Raw genomic sequence first — 20,128 nt, forward strand, 5'->3', positions numbered from 1 at the left:
ACTGCCTTCTAGAGGTCTGTCTTAAAAGCAAGACAGGTTGTCCTCAGTTCTGGGATTCTCCAAACTCATGGAGCTTTCCAGCATGCCCCCCCATCCTTCAGAAGTTGACTTGGGGAACACATAGCAGAGTACAGTATCAAAGGTCCATCAGTTTTTATTTCTGTTGCTTCTCCTCTCTTGCTTCTCTTCTTCCCCTTTCAGTTCCCAGTATTGGAGGCCAGGAAATAAAGCAGGAGGAAAAACTGGCTCTGACTATCCATGGACTCTTCCAAATTGTGCCTGGAATTCTAGGCTGTTAAGGATATTTTTTTTCCTCAAGCTATTATCTCTGCAGTTTCAAAATGGACACTTTGAAACTCGTAAGCCACAAATTGCCTCTTTTCTTTCTCTCTGCATTTCTGCTCTACCAGACCTCACTTGAATCAATAATATGACTGCCCAAATGAGCAATCAGACAGGGTCAAGGAGGAAGTACCGCAAACAAAAACATATTGGTTGATATTTCAAATAGATTATTCTACCTTACGAGTGTCAGAGCTTTCTAGGGCTTAGAAGCAAACAACTATTACATGTGATTTTTACCTTGCAATGATTAATAATGAAGCTTACCAAATAGATATCAAAAAGAAAGTTCAGGGGGATTAAGCGACTTGCCAAATTCACTCAATTAATACAGATAGCACCAAGATTCAGATCTGAAGCCCACTATTCTTACTAATGCACACTCCTTCCCCCTAAAGAGAAGGAAGGAGGACGAGGGAAATATATAAGGTGCTAATCTTTAAAGCCCTAGGAAGAAAACAGATAAGAACATTTTGCTCTTTAAAGCTGGCTGCTGTAAGAGATCATGTTGATATCTGACAGATGGTAGGGAAAAAATGAATAAACCAGTCAGCAATTCTCAAATTCTGCTCCCTTTCAACACTAGTATTCCATGAGTTGGGTAGAATTTTATTTTATTTCATTTTATCTTGTGTGTATATATTTTTGTTTTTACCGTTAGTACTTAAGAGAATTGTTCTTTTTTGAAGTCACCAAAATAATTGTTTAATACATAGAAATTTCTCAAATTTAAGTTTTTTTAAAAGGGATTTTGCTGAGTTCATGGCATTTCTATGACTTTTCCCTGTTCAAATGTTATGTTTGAAACCAGAATATTTCTGAATAAATGATTGGTTTCACCATTTATAATAATGTGGTAGTTAATCTATTAATAAAAATGAGAGTGACAATTTAATAAGTTTTTGGAGGCAGACCCTGTGCCAGGTGTTCTACATTAATTATGTGTGTTATCTCACTCAATCCTCATGGCAACTCTGTGAGAGCAAGACCATTCAGGAAAACAGGCTGAAATGGGGCCAGCAAATGGCTCAAAGGCACGTACCTAATAAATGGCAGACCCAGGATTGGAAGCTATTACTATATATATTTTTAAATACCTAATTTAATAAACTAAATCTATTGATTTAATTTAATTATATGGCATGTAATAGTCATGTTTTCTTCTAGTAAAATTGTTTCTACTGGTGGCATTAAGCATTTTGTTAAATGATGGTTTTCTATAAAGAAATCCTTAGAAACCTGCCCCAAATCGTAAATAATAACAACAAATAAATGAAGCAAGGAGAGTATGACTGTTAAAACTTATAGTTCATGGAGCATTTGTCATTATCCTCAATAATTGCATATGGCATCCTGCCAAACTCAACAGTAGAATCACTGAAAGCGAGTAGCTGTCTTAATTGTTTACAGAAACAGTAAACCCCAATCAAAATCATGACAGAACATTCCTATTGTGAGTATGTGCATCTTAACAGTTGTCCTTTGGTACAATTTTTCAACAAGTACCACCTGTTACTTTGGTGCTTAGAATTAAAATAGGTGTAATTATAACTGTTACTGCCCCAAATCTGTGCCAGCCCCTGACATGATCCTCACAGGACAGTCCTTGGCAATTCTGTTCCAAGCCTGAGTTTCAGAGCTACGTTCACATTCCTACTTATCTCAGGAGACAGAATCAAATTCTCCACCCAACTCTGACCATAGTAATTGTTTATGTAACATGTTTATTAAAGTGTAACACACAAACAGAAAAGTGCACAAATCATTAAGCGTATAGATCGATGAATTCTTACAGTGAGCAAACCATTGTAACTAACACCCAGATAGAGAAACAGAATGGTAGTAGCACCCAGAAGCTTCCCACTACCCTTCATTTCCTTCCAGTCACTACTCCTCATTCACCCAAGGGTAACTATTATCCTGGCTTCTAACATCACAGATTCATTTTGCCTATTTTTGAACTTTATATTAATGGGATCATTCAGCATGCGCTCTTTTGTGTCTGACTTCGTTCGCTTAACATTATGAGATGTATCGATGTAGCTGTGTGTAGTTGTAGATCATTCATGCCTCATCCACTCTTTGTGTGTGCCTGCCTGGCAAACCAGACAATTCTCCTATGAGTCTACCAATGATAATATTCTTTTATAGCAAATGAATTGAGCTGATAGACAGATACATTTATTAATCTCAGTAAATGCAGTAGCTGATAAAAGATGCAAAAGGCATTCTAAGAGATGGTTCTTTTCATTATTTAACATTGGTATTTCACTTTCAAGGTGAAATAGAAACTGGTGTTTTAACGGCTGTTTCAAAATCATCGTCTGTACAAAGATGCCAATGTAAAAATTGTGATACTATTGTGCAATTATAAAAGCCAAGCACAGAGAGGTTAATAACTGCCTTAGTTCTACCAGCAAAGGTACTCGGATCCCTTATATTTCCAAGGAATGAATTCTATTTATACTCTTTTTACCAAAGCAGGCAGGGATCTATGGGGAAGTAAAAGAGCAAAATAAGATTTACTTTTATTTTCCCAAACAGAAATTAAGAAATTAGCAGAAGAGGCCGGGCACGGTGGCTCATGCCTGTAATCCCAGCACTTTGGGAGTCCGAGGCAGGTGGATCACGAGGTCAGGATGTCGAGACCATCCTGGCTAACACAGTGAAACCCCATCTCTACTAAAAATACAAAAAATTAGCCAGACGTGGTGGCGGGCGCCTGTAGTCCCAGCCAATCGGGAGGCTGAGGCAGGAGAATGGCGTGAACCCGGGAGGCGGAGCTTGCAGTGAGCCGAGAACGCGCCACTGCTTCCAGCCTGGGCTACAGAGCAAGACTCCATCTCAAAAAAAAGAAAAAAAGATAAAAAGAAGAAGAAATTAACAGAAGAAACGCTATGTTCAAAAATAGCTGATGTGAAAGCATAAACAAATGAAACAGGTAAAAGCAGGCTTCTCTGGATAAAGGGTGGAGAAAGAGTGGAAGCCCATCTCTCTGTCCTCTTCTCCTTGGCAATGGCAGCTTCTAGTGGCTGCTCAAAACCTCTGATGCCCCTCATAAGCACGTATTACCATCCAGACCTGGTAAACCGGCAAATTCTTGACTTGTGCTTTTGGGCTGGGATCTGAGGCTTCTTTTTGATCTGTGACAAAAATTGCAAAGGCAATTTCTTCTCAGAGGTAGTATTTCCTCCCCATTTAATCTTTTTCATGAACTGCTGAAGTCTTTGGCTCCTGCCTGTACACACTTTCTGTTACTCTTCTTCCTACCCCTATTTCATAAGTCCAAGCACCGTATCGATCTTCTGTATAGCACAAACAGGGAAGTAGAAGGACAGCAGATTAATCCTGAGTTGCTATAGCAAAATGACTTATCATCAAAGAAAGAGTGTGACTTGGAATAGACCTACCAGGAGGTCCGAAACTTTGTTTGAAGTCTTCATCCATAGTCCTCAACCCTCAATGGTACTCATACTTGTACTAGGCACTTAGTAGGTGCACAATAAATAATTTTTTGACGAATGTGCGGTATTTATGTGTATTTAGGTGACGTTGCATGTTTATAAAGAAATTAAGTACTCAAGAGTGATTAGTGATTATAATCACCACTAAACTTCATTACGTTGCTTCATAGATAATAGAAATTTCTCTTCTTTCTGTTAGCAAAATGAGAGGCTGTTCACAAATGAGAAGAATGGGTCCTTTCTTCAGAGTCAAATTCCTCCTTTATTCATTCAATGAGAATTCATTAAGCACTTACTATTTGCCAGGTTTTATTCTAGGTGCTCGGGAGTGATACCTCAGTAGACAAAACAGATGAAAATCCATGCCTTCATGGGGCTTACATTCTAGTGGGTACACAGACAATAAACAACAGACATAATAAATAAGTGGATGATACAGTATGTTGGAAGATGATAAGTACTCTCAGCAAGGAGAAGAATGTGTCTGGAACTGAGGGAAAAACAAGTGCACCAATATTGGGACTTTGGCTTTTTGGGGAATCGTTGGATGATCTTGAACAAAGGAGGGACATGATCTACTTGCATTTTAAAAGGATCCCTCTGACTGAGAATAAACTGTGGAATAGACTGTGGGGAGCCCAGGGTGAAAGCAAGGTAGAAGTAGTGAAGCCTGTCAATAGATAGCTATCAATTATAGAAGCTGGGGTTGTGGTGGCAGCAGTGGAGAGGGTAAGAGTAACAGATCCTAGGTATGTTTTGAAGAGAGAGACAACAAGATTACTGATGTATTGGGTAAGAGAGAGATGTCAAGGATGACTTTAAGATTTCTGCCTGAGCAAATGTGAAGGCTGGTGATGGAACAAATGGAAAGGGGAAGGTTGGGAATTCGGTCTTAGATATATTGAGTTTGAAGTGTCTATTAGACATATAAGCAAAGATGTTAAAAAAAAGCAGTTGCACATGAGTCTGGAATTTGGGAGTGAAATCTGGCCTAGAGATATTTGAGTGTCACCAGCATATAGATGATATTTAAGGCCATGGGACTGGATACAATTATAAAGAGAGTAAGTGTAGATTGAAGGATGAGAGGAGAACCAAGGGCTAGTCCTGGGGCACACCAACATTCAGAAGTCAAGAAAAATAGAAGGAACCAACAATGGTGACTGAGAAGGAGCAACTACCAAGGTAGATGCAAAGGCAAACAGGTGTGATGTCCTAGACACTGTGTGAAGAAAGCTTATCAAGTAGAAAATGAAGATCAACTTTGTTGAATACTGCTAAGTGAAGGAAGAGGGCTCAGAAATGGCCACTAGATGGAGTAACGTGAAGGTCACTGATAACTTTGGTGAGAGGAGTTTTGGTGCAGCAGTGGTAGGGGACAAAGCCTTATAGGTTTGATGGAAATGAGAAGAGAGGAACTAGAAAAAGAAAGAAGAACAAAGAGCTTTGCTGCAAAGGGGAGCAAACAATTAAAGGAATACTTGTCAGGGAAATTAGGACAAAGAGAAATCTGTATCTGTTTTTAAATAATGTGTGAAAAATGAGAACAACCCATTCAAGATGTTGGTGACATAAGGGAGAAAGGGAGGAATTGCTAGAGCAATGTCTTTGAGTAGGCAAGGGGAGTGGCTTCTAGTGCACGAGTGAAGGCATTACATGGGGCATGGAAAATTCATCTATGCTTAATAGAAAGGAAAGCAGAGTATATGAGTACAGATGCTGACTAGTCGGGAAATGGAGTAGAGTCTGGAAGTTCTCCTCTTATTCCTGTAATTTTTTCAGTGAGGTAGAAAGCAAGGTGAACAGTTGAGAAGCTCACTTCACCTCTAAAGACATGCATCCACTGATAATGAAGGGATGGCAAAAGATATTCCATGCAAATGGAAACTACAAAAGAGCAGGAGTAGCTATACTTATATCAGGTAAAATAGATTTCAAGACAAAAACTGGATAAAAAGACAAGGCCATTATGTAATGATAAAGGGGCCAATTCAGCAAGAGAATATAACAACAATAAATATATATGAACCCAATGCTAGAGCACCCAGATATATAAAGCAAGTATTACTAGAGCTAAAAAGTTAAATAGAACCTAATGCAATAATAGCTGAGGACTTCAACGCTCCACCTTCAGCATTGGACAAATAATCCAGACTGAAAATCAACAAAGAAACATTAGACTTAATCTGCACTGTAGACCAAGTGGACATAATAGATATTTACAGAACATTTCACCCAACAGGTGCAGAGTACACATTCTTTTCCTTAGCACATGGAACATTATCAAGGATACAAAACAAGTACCCCAAATTTAAAAATACTTATATTAAATATATTTTCTGACCACAATGGAATAAAACTAGAAATCAATAACAAGAAGAATTTTGGAAAAAATATAAACGCGTGGAAATTTAAAAATGTGCTCCTGAATGACCATTAAGTCACTGACAAAATTAAGAAGAAAATTTAAATAGTTCTTGAAACAAATGAAAATGGAAGCACAGCATATTAAAACTTGTGGGATACAGCAAAAGCAGTACTAAGAGGGACATGTACATCAATAAATGCCTACATCAAAAAAATAGAAAAACTTCAAATAACCTAATGATGCATCTTAAAGAACTGGAAAAGCAAGAGCAAACCAAACCCAAAATTTGTAGAAGAAAAGAAATAATACAGATCAAAACAGAAATATACAAAACAGAGACTAAAAAAAATAAAAGATCAATGAAATAAAAAGTTGGTTTTTTGAAAAGATACACTTTCAAAACATAGGAAGAAGCCAACCATTTTCTCAACACGTTAGCTGCTACCACCTTGTTCCAGCCTATCAACTCTCACCCAGATTTTCGCAACAGTCTCCTGACTTGTCTCCCTGCTTTTGCCCTGCTACAGATGTCCAATTAAAATGTAAGTCAAATCATGTCCCTCCTCTGCTCCAAGCCTTAAAAGGCTTCCCATTTTATCCAGACAAAAGTCAAAGTTGTTGCCTTCTCCCCAGCTTCCTTCTGCAGCCTCACCTCTGCACCGTCCACACTACCTTCTTGTTGTCTCTCTCTCTCTCTTTCTTTTTTTTAGACGAAGTCTCACTCTCTCGCCCTGGCTGCAGTGCAGTGGTGCAGCTTGGCTCACTGCAACCTTCACCTCCCGAGTTCAAGTGATCCTCCTGCCTCAGCCTCCCGAGTAGCTGGGATTACAGGCGCCCGCCACCATGCCAGGCTAATTTTTGTATTTTTAGTAGAGATGGGTTTCCCCATGTTGGCCAGACTGGTCACAAACTCCTGACCTCAGGTGATCCGCCCACCTTGGCCTCCCAAAGTGCTAGGATTACAGGCGTGAGCCACCGCACCCGGCCTCTTGTTGTCTCTTGAACCCACCAATCATGACCTTCACACAGGAACTTTGCACATGCTCTTCCCACTATCTCGTATGTTTTCTATGGTTCACCTATCCATCTTCCTCAGGTCTTTACTCAAAAGTCCCACAATCATTGTGGCTTCCTTGACCATACTACTTAAAATTGCAACTTGGGTCCTGTAAATTTCCTATTCTCCTTCCCTGCTCTGTATTTCTTATAGCACTTATCAGTATCTAACATACAATATATTTAATTTACTCATTCAGTTTGTACTCTGTCTCTCCCCATTTGAAAGACAAAAACTGGAAAAAAAAGACAAGGCCATTATGTAATGATAAAGGGGCCAATTCAGCAAGAGAATATAACAACAATAAATATATATGAACCCAATGCTAGAGCAACCAGATATATAAAGCAAGTATTATTAGAGCTAATAAGTAGTCAAAGACTTGTATCTTGTTTACAATGCTTTCTTCAGTGCCTAGAACAGCACCAGGCACATATTTTCAGAATGAATGAATTTCAGAATCATACAGTGAGGCCAGGACTTGTTGTGTTGTGTAGTTACTCCACAGACATGAGATGTGCCATCCACCTAAAATTTGGTTTGGTTGCTGACAGTGAGAATATCTCACATGCACCAGGAAGATATGAAAAAGTTTATTACTCACATCATGTGGCTTTCTGGGGATAGTAGGTCTGGTTTCCAAGCAGGTCTGAAAGTAGCCCCAGAGAGCAGAGAAACGATATGGAGTTCTAGTGTGATTTGGCGATGGGGCTGGGATGAGGATTCCCATGCGCAAGGTAGGGCTTGTGCAGTTTGAACCTCCTGCTAGTGCCAAAGGAGTGAGCACCTGAACTTTCTTATCAGCTTTCCCAGATGTAGGGCTGAAGGGTCAGGCAGGGAGAGGTGGACAGTCAAACATCAGAAATGGGGTCAGAATGTTCATTACAGGTCCCATAGCAAGTAGGACTGTTTGGGCATTTCATATTCTTTGATCCTACCTGGCACCTAGCACATAAGATTTGCAAGGGATCTTACAACTCTAGGCAAACTGTCTTCTTTTTCAGATGAAGAAGACTGAGTCCAGTCCCACTATGTCATTCTGTCTCTGTAGATCACACTTTGAGCTGACTCAATAGCTGGCTTCCCTATGGCAAGGCCTAGGGCTGTGGAGACTTAAAAACAATCTTGCGCAATTTTTTAGACTCTGACTCTCAGAACCCTTTTCTATAAAATTCTTGTAATATCTACTGTACACTTTGTCAGACTAAGGGATTCAATGAAAGAATGTTAATAATGTGCCATCATATGATTATGCTCTGTGAAGAGTCATTGCTAGGGTCAGAACATGGTGGTCTCTAGTTAAAGACCATTTGGTCTAGGCATATTTAAGAGAACACTTTTGAGTATAAAATAGGTAGACTATAATTATTTAATTTTATATACAGTAACAGAAATGAGGACCATTGCTTTGTGTGGGTTTGATTTTTAATATTTTTTTTTCTTTTTGGAGATGGAGTCTTGCTCTGTCACCCAGGGTGGAGTGCAGTGGCGCGATCTCACTGCAAGCTCTGCCTCCCAGGTTCATGCCATCCTCCTGCCTCAGCCTCCCGAGTAGCTGGGACTACAGGCGCCCACCACCACGCCTGGCTAATTTTTTGTATTTTTAGTAGAGATGGGATTTCACCATGTTAGCCAGGATGGTCTCGATTTCCTGACCTCGTGATCCACCTGCCTCTGATTTTTACTTTTTATAGTGAAACTTTCAAATAAACAGAAAAGTAAAAAGATTAGCATAATGAGCATACCAATACCCTTTACATCAGTCTAACAATTGTTAATATGTTGCCTTCTTCGTCTACTTGTTTTGGTTGTTGAACTAAAGTAAATTAAAGTTACAATGATATTTTACCCCAAAATACATCAGTTTGTATCCCCAAAAAATAAGGATATTGTCCTATATGGCTATGATGTCATGATCACACTGAACAAAAATAATGATTCCTTAATATCATTTAATATCAGTCCATATTCAAACTGTGTTAAGGCTTCAGTAGGATGTTTCATGAGATTTTGAGTCAAATTCTCCTTTGTGGATCTGAAACTCCTCATTCCCCAATTCACCGTGCAATTAATGATTTCTTCCCTGTTTATGGGAAACAGATGGGATTAGCAAATTGTGACTGTTGCTTATTTCCCAAAAGATAAATCAGGCACATCATAATAAGGAGGGGAAAAGTAATGTTTGTAAAATTCCTTGGACAAATCTCTATCTTGCAATTATGTGTATTTGCCTTTATGTATTGGAGAAATTCTGAGCATTAAACCAGTCTCAAATGAGACAGTAAAGTTCTGATTGGATGTCACCATCTCCCATAATTTTCCCCAGAATGTGTGATGAAAGGGCTCCAGCCTGGGTGACAGGGAAGACTGTGTCAAAAAATAAATAAATAAAAATGAAAGGCTTGAAAATAAAAGAAAGTAAGCATTGAGATAGTGGTTTCAAGTCACTAAGAGTAAAAAAAGTAAAAGGGCCACTTTACTGTTTTCCTTATCTTCCAATCAAGACAGCGTCATATATTTTATTTTATTTTTTATTTTTTTCAGACAGAGTCTTGCTCTGTTGCTCAGGCTGGAGTGCAGTGGCATGATCTCGGCTCACTACAACCCCTGCCTCCCAGATTCAAGCGATTCTCCTGCCTCAGCCTCCCGACTAGCTGGGATTACAGGCGCCTGCCACCACGTCCGGCTAATTTTTGTATTTTTAGTAGAGACAGGGTTTTGCCATGTTGGCCAGGCTGGTCTTGAACTTCTGACCTCAGGAGATCCACCTGCCTCAGCCTCCCAAAGTGCTGGGATTATAGGTATGAGCCACTGCACACAGCCAGCTTTATATATTTTAGAGAACCAAAACCAGGCATAGCCCCAAAGAGGGAATGATGCCTCGTTATTGCCAGGTCTTGAATAAGAGGGTGGAGAAATGGGCACACATGTGAAGGAGAGTTAATTACTTGAGCACAAAATTTTATCTACTTCCCTCAATTCCTCATTTTGCTTTGCATGGGAATTCTGTATCAGAGAAGTTGGAGAGCTTTAAAGATTTTGACTTTTCAGTTGAGATGATGCCAATTCTTTGTAATTTTGTTTTCCACTTTAGTTGTTTTTTCAAAATGATTTTTTTCTTTTTTTTTTATTGTAGGCTTTGCACTTCTGGGAGGACATCCTTGTTTTCTTACCACACAAGATATTCATTTGGGTGTGAATGAAAGTCTCACGGACACGGCCCGGTTTGTAAATATTTTCTTCTCTCCAAAGCTGATTTCAGAATCTGATGGATAAATTTCAAAAATAAAACATAATTCTCTTTAAATAATGGTTTTCCCTCTAATTGTTCTGTTCTCCATTTTCCCTCTTTCCCTGATATTCTGAATACCTCTCCCTCATCCTGTGGCCACTTTCCATCGGTTGAAATAATTTTTCTTGGCAATTTTTTGAAGAAGCTTCTGATCATAAAATTTCAAACTTATGGAAATTTTGAGTTCATCAAGTATGACTCTTAGATTTAACAGTTGAGGAGGAAATGAAGGTCCAGGGAAACTGACATTCAGTGGCTCATAACTAGTTACTATCAGACTAGGTAATAATATTAATAACTACTAATAACACTTATTGAGCATTTATTGTGTGCTAGGTATTTTTCTGACTTGTTTAATCCTTATAACAACCCAGATTGTCATAAAGAAGTGAAACAACTTAATTAGGCACAGACTAGCTGCTATAACACAAAATCTCAAATGTCAATATGCTAACATAGTGCAGATGTTCCTGATTGGTAAAAGGGAAGAACAGGTTATTAATTTATGTGGGTTATTCAGGGACACTGGCTGAGAGTGATTCTACCATCTTCAACATGTGACCTCCAAGGTCAGTTTGGGTGTTAACATCCAGCCAGGACCAAGGAGAATAGAGCATGGAGAAGGCATACTTGTTTCAAAGCCACCTTAGCAGGGAAGCAGTACAAACAATTCCACTTATATTTCATTAGGAAGTACTAGTAGCTCACTCCCATCTAGATGAAGGGAGAGACGGGGAAAGGCTCTTCCCCACTATATTATAATGAAACTGAAGCATAGGCCTCCTGACTCCTCATGCAATGCTCATACCACTACATCATGTCTGGCTAAAAAATCCAGAGCAAATGTCTTTGTTAAAAGTTTTGCCCTCAAAAGAGAAGACTAATGATTCTTTTCCTGAAAATGATACGCCATGAAGTTATTTCTTGCAGATAACGTCTGCTTTTTATGGCAACCACCCTAGTATAAAGAATTCACCTCATTTGACTTGCTGAAGAGATTTCAAATAACTCTTCTTTAAACCTTTTAGTTATGTTATTTCAGATGGGACAATGAAAGTATTAAGAAGTGTGATTAGCTTCTGGATTCTAGGGACAAAAGGAATCAAGGAACATAAATTTTTTCTTCCAAATAATCTGCCTCTGACTTGGATTATATTTGTCTGATAATTCTGCTTCCACAAAAGTGAAAATATACTTTATTCAAAAGCAAATATTACAAGCTGATCAAGGGATGAAGCCAGAGACATACCCAAGCAAAGTTTCAGTGAGGATCCTCTATATAGGACCAGGTGAAAGATGGTGAATGAGTCATATGTAAAGCACTGGTTGGAAGAGGGTTCAGTGGGAGGAACAGCTGAGCATCCAAAAAAGGAGTTGAGCAGTGCAGGTTGGCAGTCAGAAAGAGGTCAGGATCCAGAAATCAGTGCAGTGGGCAGGATCCCAAGATCAAGAGACAAACAGCCAAGCATGGGCTGAAAATTGAGGATGGGTATAAACGTGCTCTTTTCTGGGCTTGCTCTCCACACAATTCTCACTGCAAGTCCTTAGTTAGAGGAGCTCTACATAGATGCTGAGCAAAACAGTCTGCTTACAGTTTTTTTTTTTTGTTACAAGTTCCAAAATGATTGGGACATTTTGAGTCCATATAATTATTATAGTTCCATTGCTACATGAATACATGGGTCCATGAAATGGAGTCCATATAATTCATTTTGACCATTTTGTCTTATCCAAAACACTGAAAATAATAGCTACTCCTTAAAGATTGTCTGCCGTGGACCTCTTGTGCTATTATCTCTAAATCTTTTTTAAAATCTTGCAAAGTAAGTATTATTGGCCTGGTTTTATAGATGAGGAAAGCATGGCTCAGAGAAGTTAATGGAGCTTAGAAGCTGACTAAGTCAGGGTTTAAATCAAGCTGTCTTTATTTTCTAAGGCCGTGTTGTTTTGATTACCCCATAATGCTGCTTCTATTCAGCCCACGAGAGGGGCAGCGAAACAAGTTATAGAAAATATTGGGCTGGGCGTGGTGGCTCATGCCTATAATCCCAGCACTTTGGGAGGCCGAGGCGGGTGGATCACCTGAGTTTGGGAGTTTGAGACCAGCCTGACCAACATGGAGAAACCCCGTCTCTACTAAAAATACAAAAATTAGCCGGGCGTGGTGGCGCATGCCTGTAATCCCAGCTACTCAGGAGGCTGAGGCAGGAGAGTTGCTTAAACTCGGGAGGCGGAGGTTGCAGTGAGCCGAGATAGCGCCATTGCACTCCAGCCTGGGCAAGAAGAGCAAAACTCCATCTCAAAAGAAAAGAAAAGACAAAAAAAAAAAAAAGAAAAGAAAACATTGACAACATTGACTTGCACGTCAAGAGGTCCCCAGGACAACCCAGAGGTTTGATGATTCACTAGGAGGGCTCACAGGACTGAGCATATAGTCATACTCATAGTTATGATTTATTACAATGAAAGTATACCAAGCACAATCAATGAAGGGAAAAGGCAGAAGCAGGAAAATGAAAGGAGTTTCTGCTTTGTGGAGAAAATGACAGATTAGGCACTGAACATATTGCATTAAAGTTTGAACCTCTGAGTGCAAATGTTCACAAGTCATTGGAGATAAAGACCTTGAGTGAAGTTGAGAGCTGAAGAAATATAAATATAAGCTCGGTGGTAAAAATTACCTCCATGGTCTCAATGTGGGAGAATTGCAGAAGGCTGTGCCATGAGAACAGGTGCAATTAAGGAGGGGGAGGAGGAAATCCTCAGGGCACAAAGAGAACAAGCATAGTACAATATCAGAAGAGGCTGGCATGGGAGATGGGGGATGTCAGAAAAAGGAGTAGAGTAGCTATTGTAGAAATCTGACTTTCTTTTGTGTACGTCATTACTGCTTAATCTGCCAAAATATCTGACAAACAAGATATGCTGGGACTCAGAAATTCAATAAAGCTAAATTGAAGAAGACAAGATAAATCTACCACCTTCCACAGATGCAATTGAATAGGAGATGTAAGGAAGCAAATCTTAATGACATCTACCTTGCTGATATGCACCTTGTAACCCTCAGCAATCGCTTCCTTTGCTTTTTGTAGAAGTTTAACATTTTAAGGTGCAAAGGGATTGGAGGATGATTAAATGACATTGCTGGCCCTTTCAAATCAAAAGAATCATGCATGCCTGACACTGATTGACGGTGTTGCTTCTTCATTGCTGGTCCAGCTGCTTTGGGGGCCTGGTCGAATAAAAAGTGCCTGCACATTGTTGAAAGAAGAGCCTGAGGGAGAATATAGTGAGTGTAGCAACCAAAAGAAAAAAAAAGAAAGAAAGAAAACCGGGCCAGTCTCTTGAAAGCTGTTAAATGCAATTTCCATAGTGCCACTTATTTGTTCAAATGATTTAATTGTTCATTTATTCAGAAATAGTTATTGAATGCCTCATTTTTCTTCCAGACATTGTTTTAGCACTGAGAATAAAATGCTGATCAAGGCTGGGTGCGGTGGCTCACGTCTGTAATCCTAGCACTTTGGGAAGCCGAGGGGCTGGGGGAATGGGGGTGGGTCACCTGAGGTCAGGACCAGCCTGGCCAACATGGCGAAACCCCATCTCTACTAAAAATACAAAAATTAGCTGGGTGTGGTGGCGGGCACCTGTAATCCCAGCTACTCAGGAGGTTGAGGCAGGAGAATCACTTGAACCCGGGAGGTGGAGGTGGCAGTGAGCTGAGATTGTGCCACTGCACTCCAGCCTGGGCGACAGAGCGGGACTCTGTCTCAAATAAATAAATAAAATAAAATGCTGATCAAGTCAAACAAGTTTCTTGTTAGAGTGGAAATTGCATTCTGGAGCGAGGAGGCTTTTGCTAAACAAATGAACAAAGCATGAATAGAAGAGCAGGTTGAAATAAGTGCTATGATGAAGCTAAAGCCGGGTTATTTGTTGGTGGGGTGGCGGCTGCCTTAGATTGGGTGGTCAGGGAAGGCCTCTCTGAGGAGGTGAAAGTTAAGAGCTCAATAAAATGACAGAGCCAGGTACGCAATGCTGTAGGAAGAGTGTCACAGAAAGAACTGCTGATGCATAAGCCTAAGGCAGCAACAAGCTGGATGTGTTCAGGAACAGAAGGGAAGCCATTAATGTTCTAAAATCTTCAAACAAATACATTTTGAACCTGATTTTTTTTTAAAAAAGCACCTTACAGATTGGTCCTCAGTCTCACCCACCAAAGAAAGGAAAGATAAAATCAGAACAAGGAATAAAAATCCTAAATACACATTCAAAATCCAATGTATTGTACAGCAGATCTTTAGAACTTATTTATGGCCGGGTGTGTTGGCTCACGCCTGTAATCCCAGCACTTTGAGAGGCCGAGGCAGACAGATCACCTGAGGTCAGGAGTTTGAGACCAGCCTGGCCAACATGGTGAAACCCCATCTCTACTAAAAATAAAATAAAAAAAATTCCGCACACCTGTAGTCCCAGCTACTAGGGAGGCTGAGGCAGGAGAATTGCTTGAGCCCAGGAGGCAGAGGTTGCAGTGAGCCCAGATCCTGCCACTGCACTCCAGCCTGGGCAACAGAGCAAGGCTCTGTTAAAAAAAAAGGCCGATGCAGTGGCTCATGCCTGTAATCCCAGCACCTTGGGAGGCCAAGGTGGGCAGATCGCGAGGTCAGGAGTTTGAGACCAGCCTGACCAACATGGTGAAATCCCGTCTCTACTAAAAATACAAAAATTAGCCAGGCGTGGTGGCGTGTGCCTGTAATCCCAGCTACTCAGGAGGCAGAGGCAGGAGAATCGCTTGAACCCAGGAGGTGGAGGTTGTAGTGAGCTGAGGTCACAGCACTGCACCCCAGCCTGGGTGACAGAGTGAGACTCCATCTCAAAAAAAAAAAAAAATATATATATATATATGTAACTTATTCATTCATCTTCTATAACTGAAATAATTGTTGAACAGCAATGCTCATTGCCCCCCACCTCCAACCCCTGGCAACCACCATTCTACTTTCTCCTTTTATGTATTTGACTATTTTAATACTTCACATAGGTGGACTCATGCAATATTTGTCCTTCTGTGACTGACTTATCTCACTTAGCATAATGTTCTCCGCGTTCGTTCGTGATATTGCATATGCCGGGATTTCCTTCTTTGTAAGGCTGAATGATATTTCATTGTGAATATGTACCACATTTTCTTTATCCATTCATCTGTTGATGAATACTTAGGTTGTTTCCACTTATTGGCTATTGTGAATAGTGCTGCAAGGAACACAATAATACAAATATCTCTTTGAGTTTCTGATTTCAATTACTTTGGCTAAATACCCAGAAGTGGGCTAAATCATATGATAATTCTATGTTCAATTTTTCAAGGAACTTCCACACTGTTTTTCATAGTGGTGGCACCATTTTACATCACCACCAATGGTGTGGAAGAATTCCAATTTTCCACATCCTTGTCAACACTTGTTATCTTTTGTCATTTTGATAATAGTCATCCTAACAGGTGTGAAGTGATATTGCACTGTGGTTTTAATTTGCATTTCCCTAATTATTAGTAATATTGAGCACATTTTCATATACCTTTTAGCCACTCGTATGCCTTTTGTGCAGAAATATCTATTCAAATCTTTTGCCTATTTTTTTAATTTTGACTTTTATTTTTTTGCTGTTAAATTGTAGGCATTCCTTATATTTTGGACATTAACCCCTTGTGAGACACAGGTGTGCAAATATTTTCTCCCATTCCATAGGTTGCCTTTTCACTCTGTTGATTGTTTCTTTTGCTATGCAGAAGCTTTTTAGATCTCATTTGAAGTATTATTACAATAAAAAAGTCTTACATTTAGAGTTAGTAAGATTTTAAAAATTAGATCATAATAAACAAGTATCCCAAAGAAGATCTGACAATTAAGGAGAGAAAAAACTGTATTGTTCTTTTCTTCCTTGTTACAATAATAAAACCTATTCACTATACAGAATATTGTGGCTGAAATCTCGTTAGCTTGGTCTGAGTTGCATTTTGTATAATCTAGAGGTGACTGAAGGGGAGCACTGAGGTGGAGCTGTCCACTGATATTTTGGAGGAGCTGATATGTTGGAGTCTCTAACACCACACTCAGGTTTGATCATTTATTGGAAGGACTCACAGGGATCAGCATACAGTGATACTCATGGCTAAGATTTATCACAACAAAAGAAACAAAGCAACATCAGCCAAGAAAAAAGGTGCATGAGGTAAAGTCTAGGGGAGACTAGGCACAAGCTTCCACAAGTCCCCTCCCAGTGGTGTCACACAGGATGTGCTTAATTTCCCCAGCAAACCAGTTCCCAAGGCTTTTACTGGGGACTGGTACAAAAGTGCCCTCTGCCTAGTGTGATCCCAAATTCCAGACACCCAGAAGGAAAGCAGGTGTTCAGCATAAAACATAGTGCATATCCAAACAGTTTGGGCACAGTGGACCACCCTTCTCATTTCTGGGAATGGTGGGAACCCTCCTAAAGTCCAAGTTCCTAGATGCTAGCCAAGGGTCAGCCTTGTAAGCAGCCCTTTGAAGGACAGCCACCTCAAGGCGCTATGTTAGCTTTTTTCTGCATAATCAGGCTCTCATCTCTCTTCTGAATTTTGCTCAATTTCTTTTACCTAGATGTACTGTAACTGGTAAGGGAGTGTATGTTATATCCATGGGAAGACAGCCTTAAGATTTGAGTTGTTTTCTTGCTTCAGCATGGATCCCTGGAGGCCTAGGTTCCCCTGGATAGAATCAGTCCTATTGCTCACTTCCCTTTATTGAAGAGTCTCTCTTAGGAGCTCCTTCTCACCCCCTAACATATCAGAAAACACAAAACATACACATAGATATTCAGTTAAGTTTACTTCAGATGTGAGGGTATTTTCAGATTTTGTCATTTACCAGGTGCTCTACTGGGGTTATGAACTGGATATTCTTTTTTTTTTTTTCCTTGTTCTGGGCTTGTCCTTTTAGATGTGACACCAGAAGTGACCACCTTCGCGTGACTCAGATCACTGATTTTTTAGAAGATTTAAATCATATGGAATTTAGCAACAGCAAGTGGGGCATTATCACTCCAGTTTCAAGGCTTTCTGTTTCTTCTGTAATGACAGCTTTTCATGCCTAATGCTCAGCGTACTACTGAAAAGTGCATAATAGCTTCCCAGTCATTTGTCTTCTAATATAGTACTTAGTAATGCAGCTTCAGGAACCACGTGTATGAAAGGCTCCATATAAAACCAAATAATGTAACACTGTTCTACTCTAATTTCTTTCCCTATAGATGTAATTTACTTATGGTAGTGATTGCTAAAATGTGTTCAGCTAATTTGTAAAACCAGTAGAAAAGAAAATGAATGTAGACCACTATATTAGTTTCCTATGGCCACCACAACAAATTACCACAAACATGGTGGCTTAGAACAACAGAAATTTATTTTCCCACAGTTCTGGAGGCTAGAAGTCCAAAATCAGTGTGTCAACAGGACCACAATTCCCTTTCCAGTGGCTTTCAGTCATCCTTGGCATTCCTTGGCATCACCCCAAACTCTGCCTCCATCTTTGCCTGGGCTTCTCTGTGTATCTTCTCCTCTTCTTATAAGAATATCTGTCATTGAATTTAGGACCTACCCTACTCCATATGACTTCATCTTAACTAATTACATCTGCAAATATCCTACTTCTGAAAAAGCTCACACTTTGAGTTTCTAGGTAGACATGAATTTTGGGGAAATGCCATTCAACCCACTATAACCACATATCCACATGTCCCTATGACACCATAAAAGGGGTTTCCAATCATTGCTATTCTCAAATAATGAAAGTTATAGAGGGATTTGTGGATGAGGCCCAATCCTCAAGAGGAGTGAACCATTGTCATATTAAAAGGAATATTTATAAAAAAAAAAGCTGGAATACTGTTATTCAGGTATTTATACCAATTATGTCCAGACTAAAAATGTTAAAGGTTTTACGATTTTTGGTAAAATGTTTTAAAATATTGGTACCTAATGGGAAATATATATCTCATGAGGTAGTAATAAATTGGTACCTAATGGGAAATATGATACTTCCATGAATCTTTACAGAGAACACCAAGAACCCAGCAGGTATGAAAATTCTATATTTTTGGGAAAAATGATTACAAAAGACAGTCTCTCACACCATGAACAATGATATATTCTCTTAGAGGCAGTGTACCAGAGCGTCAAGGACAGGGGCTTCAAAGCAGAGTCACAGTTTGGTTCAATTCAGAGCTCTACCACATGCTAGCCCTCATGGTTTGGGCCAGATGCTTCTGAGTCTCAGTTTCCTCAGTTGCAAAATGGAGATACTTATACTTATCTTAATGCATTATATGAGGGTAAATGAGATCGTGCTTGTAAAGGACACACGCACAGAAGAAATTCAAGTAATGTTGGTTGAATCAAGTTATGATCTAACCCAATCTCAAGACAAGCACTGACTCAATTTTGGCTATCTCTGTGGTTTTCCTAAACAGGTTACACTGACCCACTGAACTTCCATTAGCATATTTTGAAGAAGTTATTCTAAATGCCATTATACCCCATTCATTTTTCTCTAAGGTCTTCAAACTTGGGATCTAACATTTAAATCAAAACAACCTGGCCATTATAGATCCTTCATTAATAAATTGAATATGGCAATTTTATTCAACATCTCTGGCTTCTTCCAACACCAGCCCATTTGACAAGAACCCATCTAGGTTTGCTGAGAGTATTATCTATCTTATTTCCTCATCATTCTTATGTTGATATAACTAAAATCATCTGGGTAGAGATGCCAGAGGGCTAGAATATTCTGTTTCCCAGAGGGAGATTCAGAGAGTTTATCTCATAATCAATTTACATTGGGGATAGAGATTAAGTCTGCTTAAGTCTCCTTTTGGGACTTGGCTGAATTTGACAAAAAATAAAATCAGAAACATCCATTTTTAAGTGATTACAGGGTTCTCAAGGATGTAATATGCACAACCAAAACATCCTTCCTCTATCTCCCAGTCAGCTGTTCAACTGGTAAGAGTTGTCAGTGAAAGAAACTGGAGTTTAGAGGGCATGCAGTCTGATTCAAACAAGGCAGGATGGAGACAAAAGAGAAAATGGATAACAGGACCCTATGAGAATACAACCTCTGTTTGCCTTTGGCTTTTGAGACACTTGCACCATGTTCCAATACTTTAGGAACAACTGAACTCCTTTTAAGAGCACCAGGATTGCTGTATGATTGTCCATCTCATCAACATCCATGTTTGCTCATCAACATCCATGTTTGATCTGGCCCAGCACACTACTTGTTTTTTATTTTTTAGTGTTTGTTCACCCAACCACACTAACTCTGCACCAGGTTTTCCTGGGGTCATGAGAGGCTTTGTTTATTGTCTTTTTTTGTTTCATTTTGCTTTGTTTTGTTTCAGCCTTCAGGGTGTTTTCATTAATTCCTAAATAAGTTTCAAACTTATACCAAAAGAAAAAACACCAAGCAACAACAGAAACTAAGGGTTGGAAAGGATTTATTTATAGCAACCATCCTTTTCATGGAGAGAGTGACCATCACTCTCTCAAAATGGTCATTGAGCCC

General features: G+C 39.5%; 1 protein-coding gene across 3 annotated transcripts in view; it reads left to right on the forward strand.

The window, feature by feature from the left end:
- Positions 1-20,128, forward strand: part of OTC (ornithine transcarbamylase) — a 95,245-nt gene that overhangs the window by 43,291 nt on the left and 31,826 nt on the right. For all 3 annotated transcript variants that reach the window (NM_001407092.1, NM_000531.6, XM_017029556.2), the window contains one exon: positions 10,368-10,455. In NM_001407092.1, coding sequence (NP_001394021.1) covers positions 10,368-10,455 — 88 coding nt within the window. The remainder of the gene's footprint in view (positions 1-10,367; positions 10,456-20,128) is intronic.

The sequence above is a fragment of the Homo sapiens genome, chromosome X (genome assembly GCF_000001405.40).
Source record: "Homo sapiens chromosome X, GRCh38.p14 Primary Assembly".
Lineage (NCBI taxonomy): Eukaryota > Metazoa > Chordata > Mammalia > Primates > Hominidae > Homo > Homo sapiens.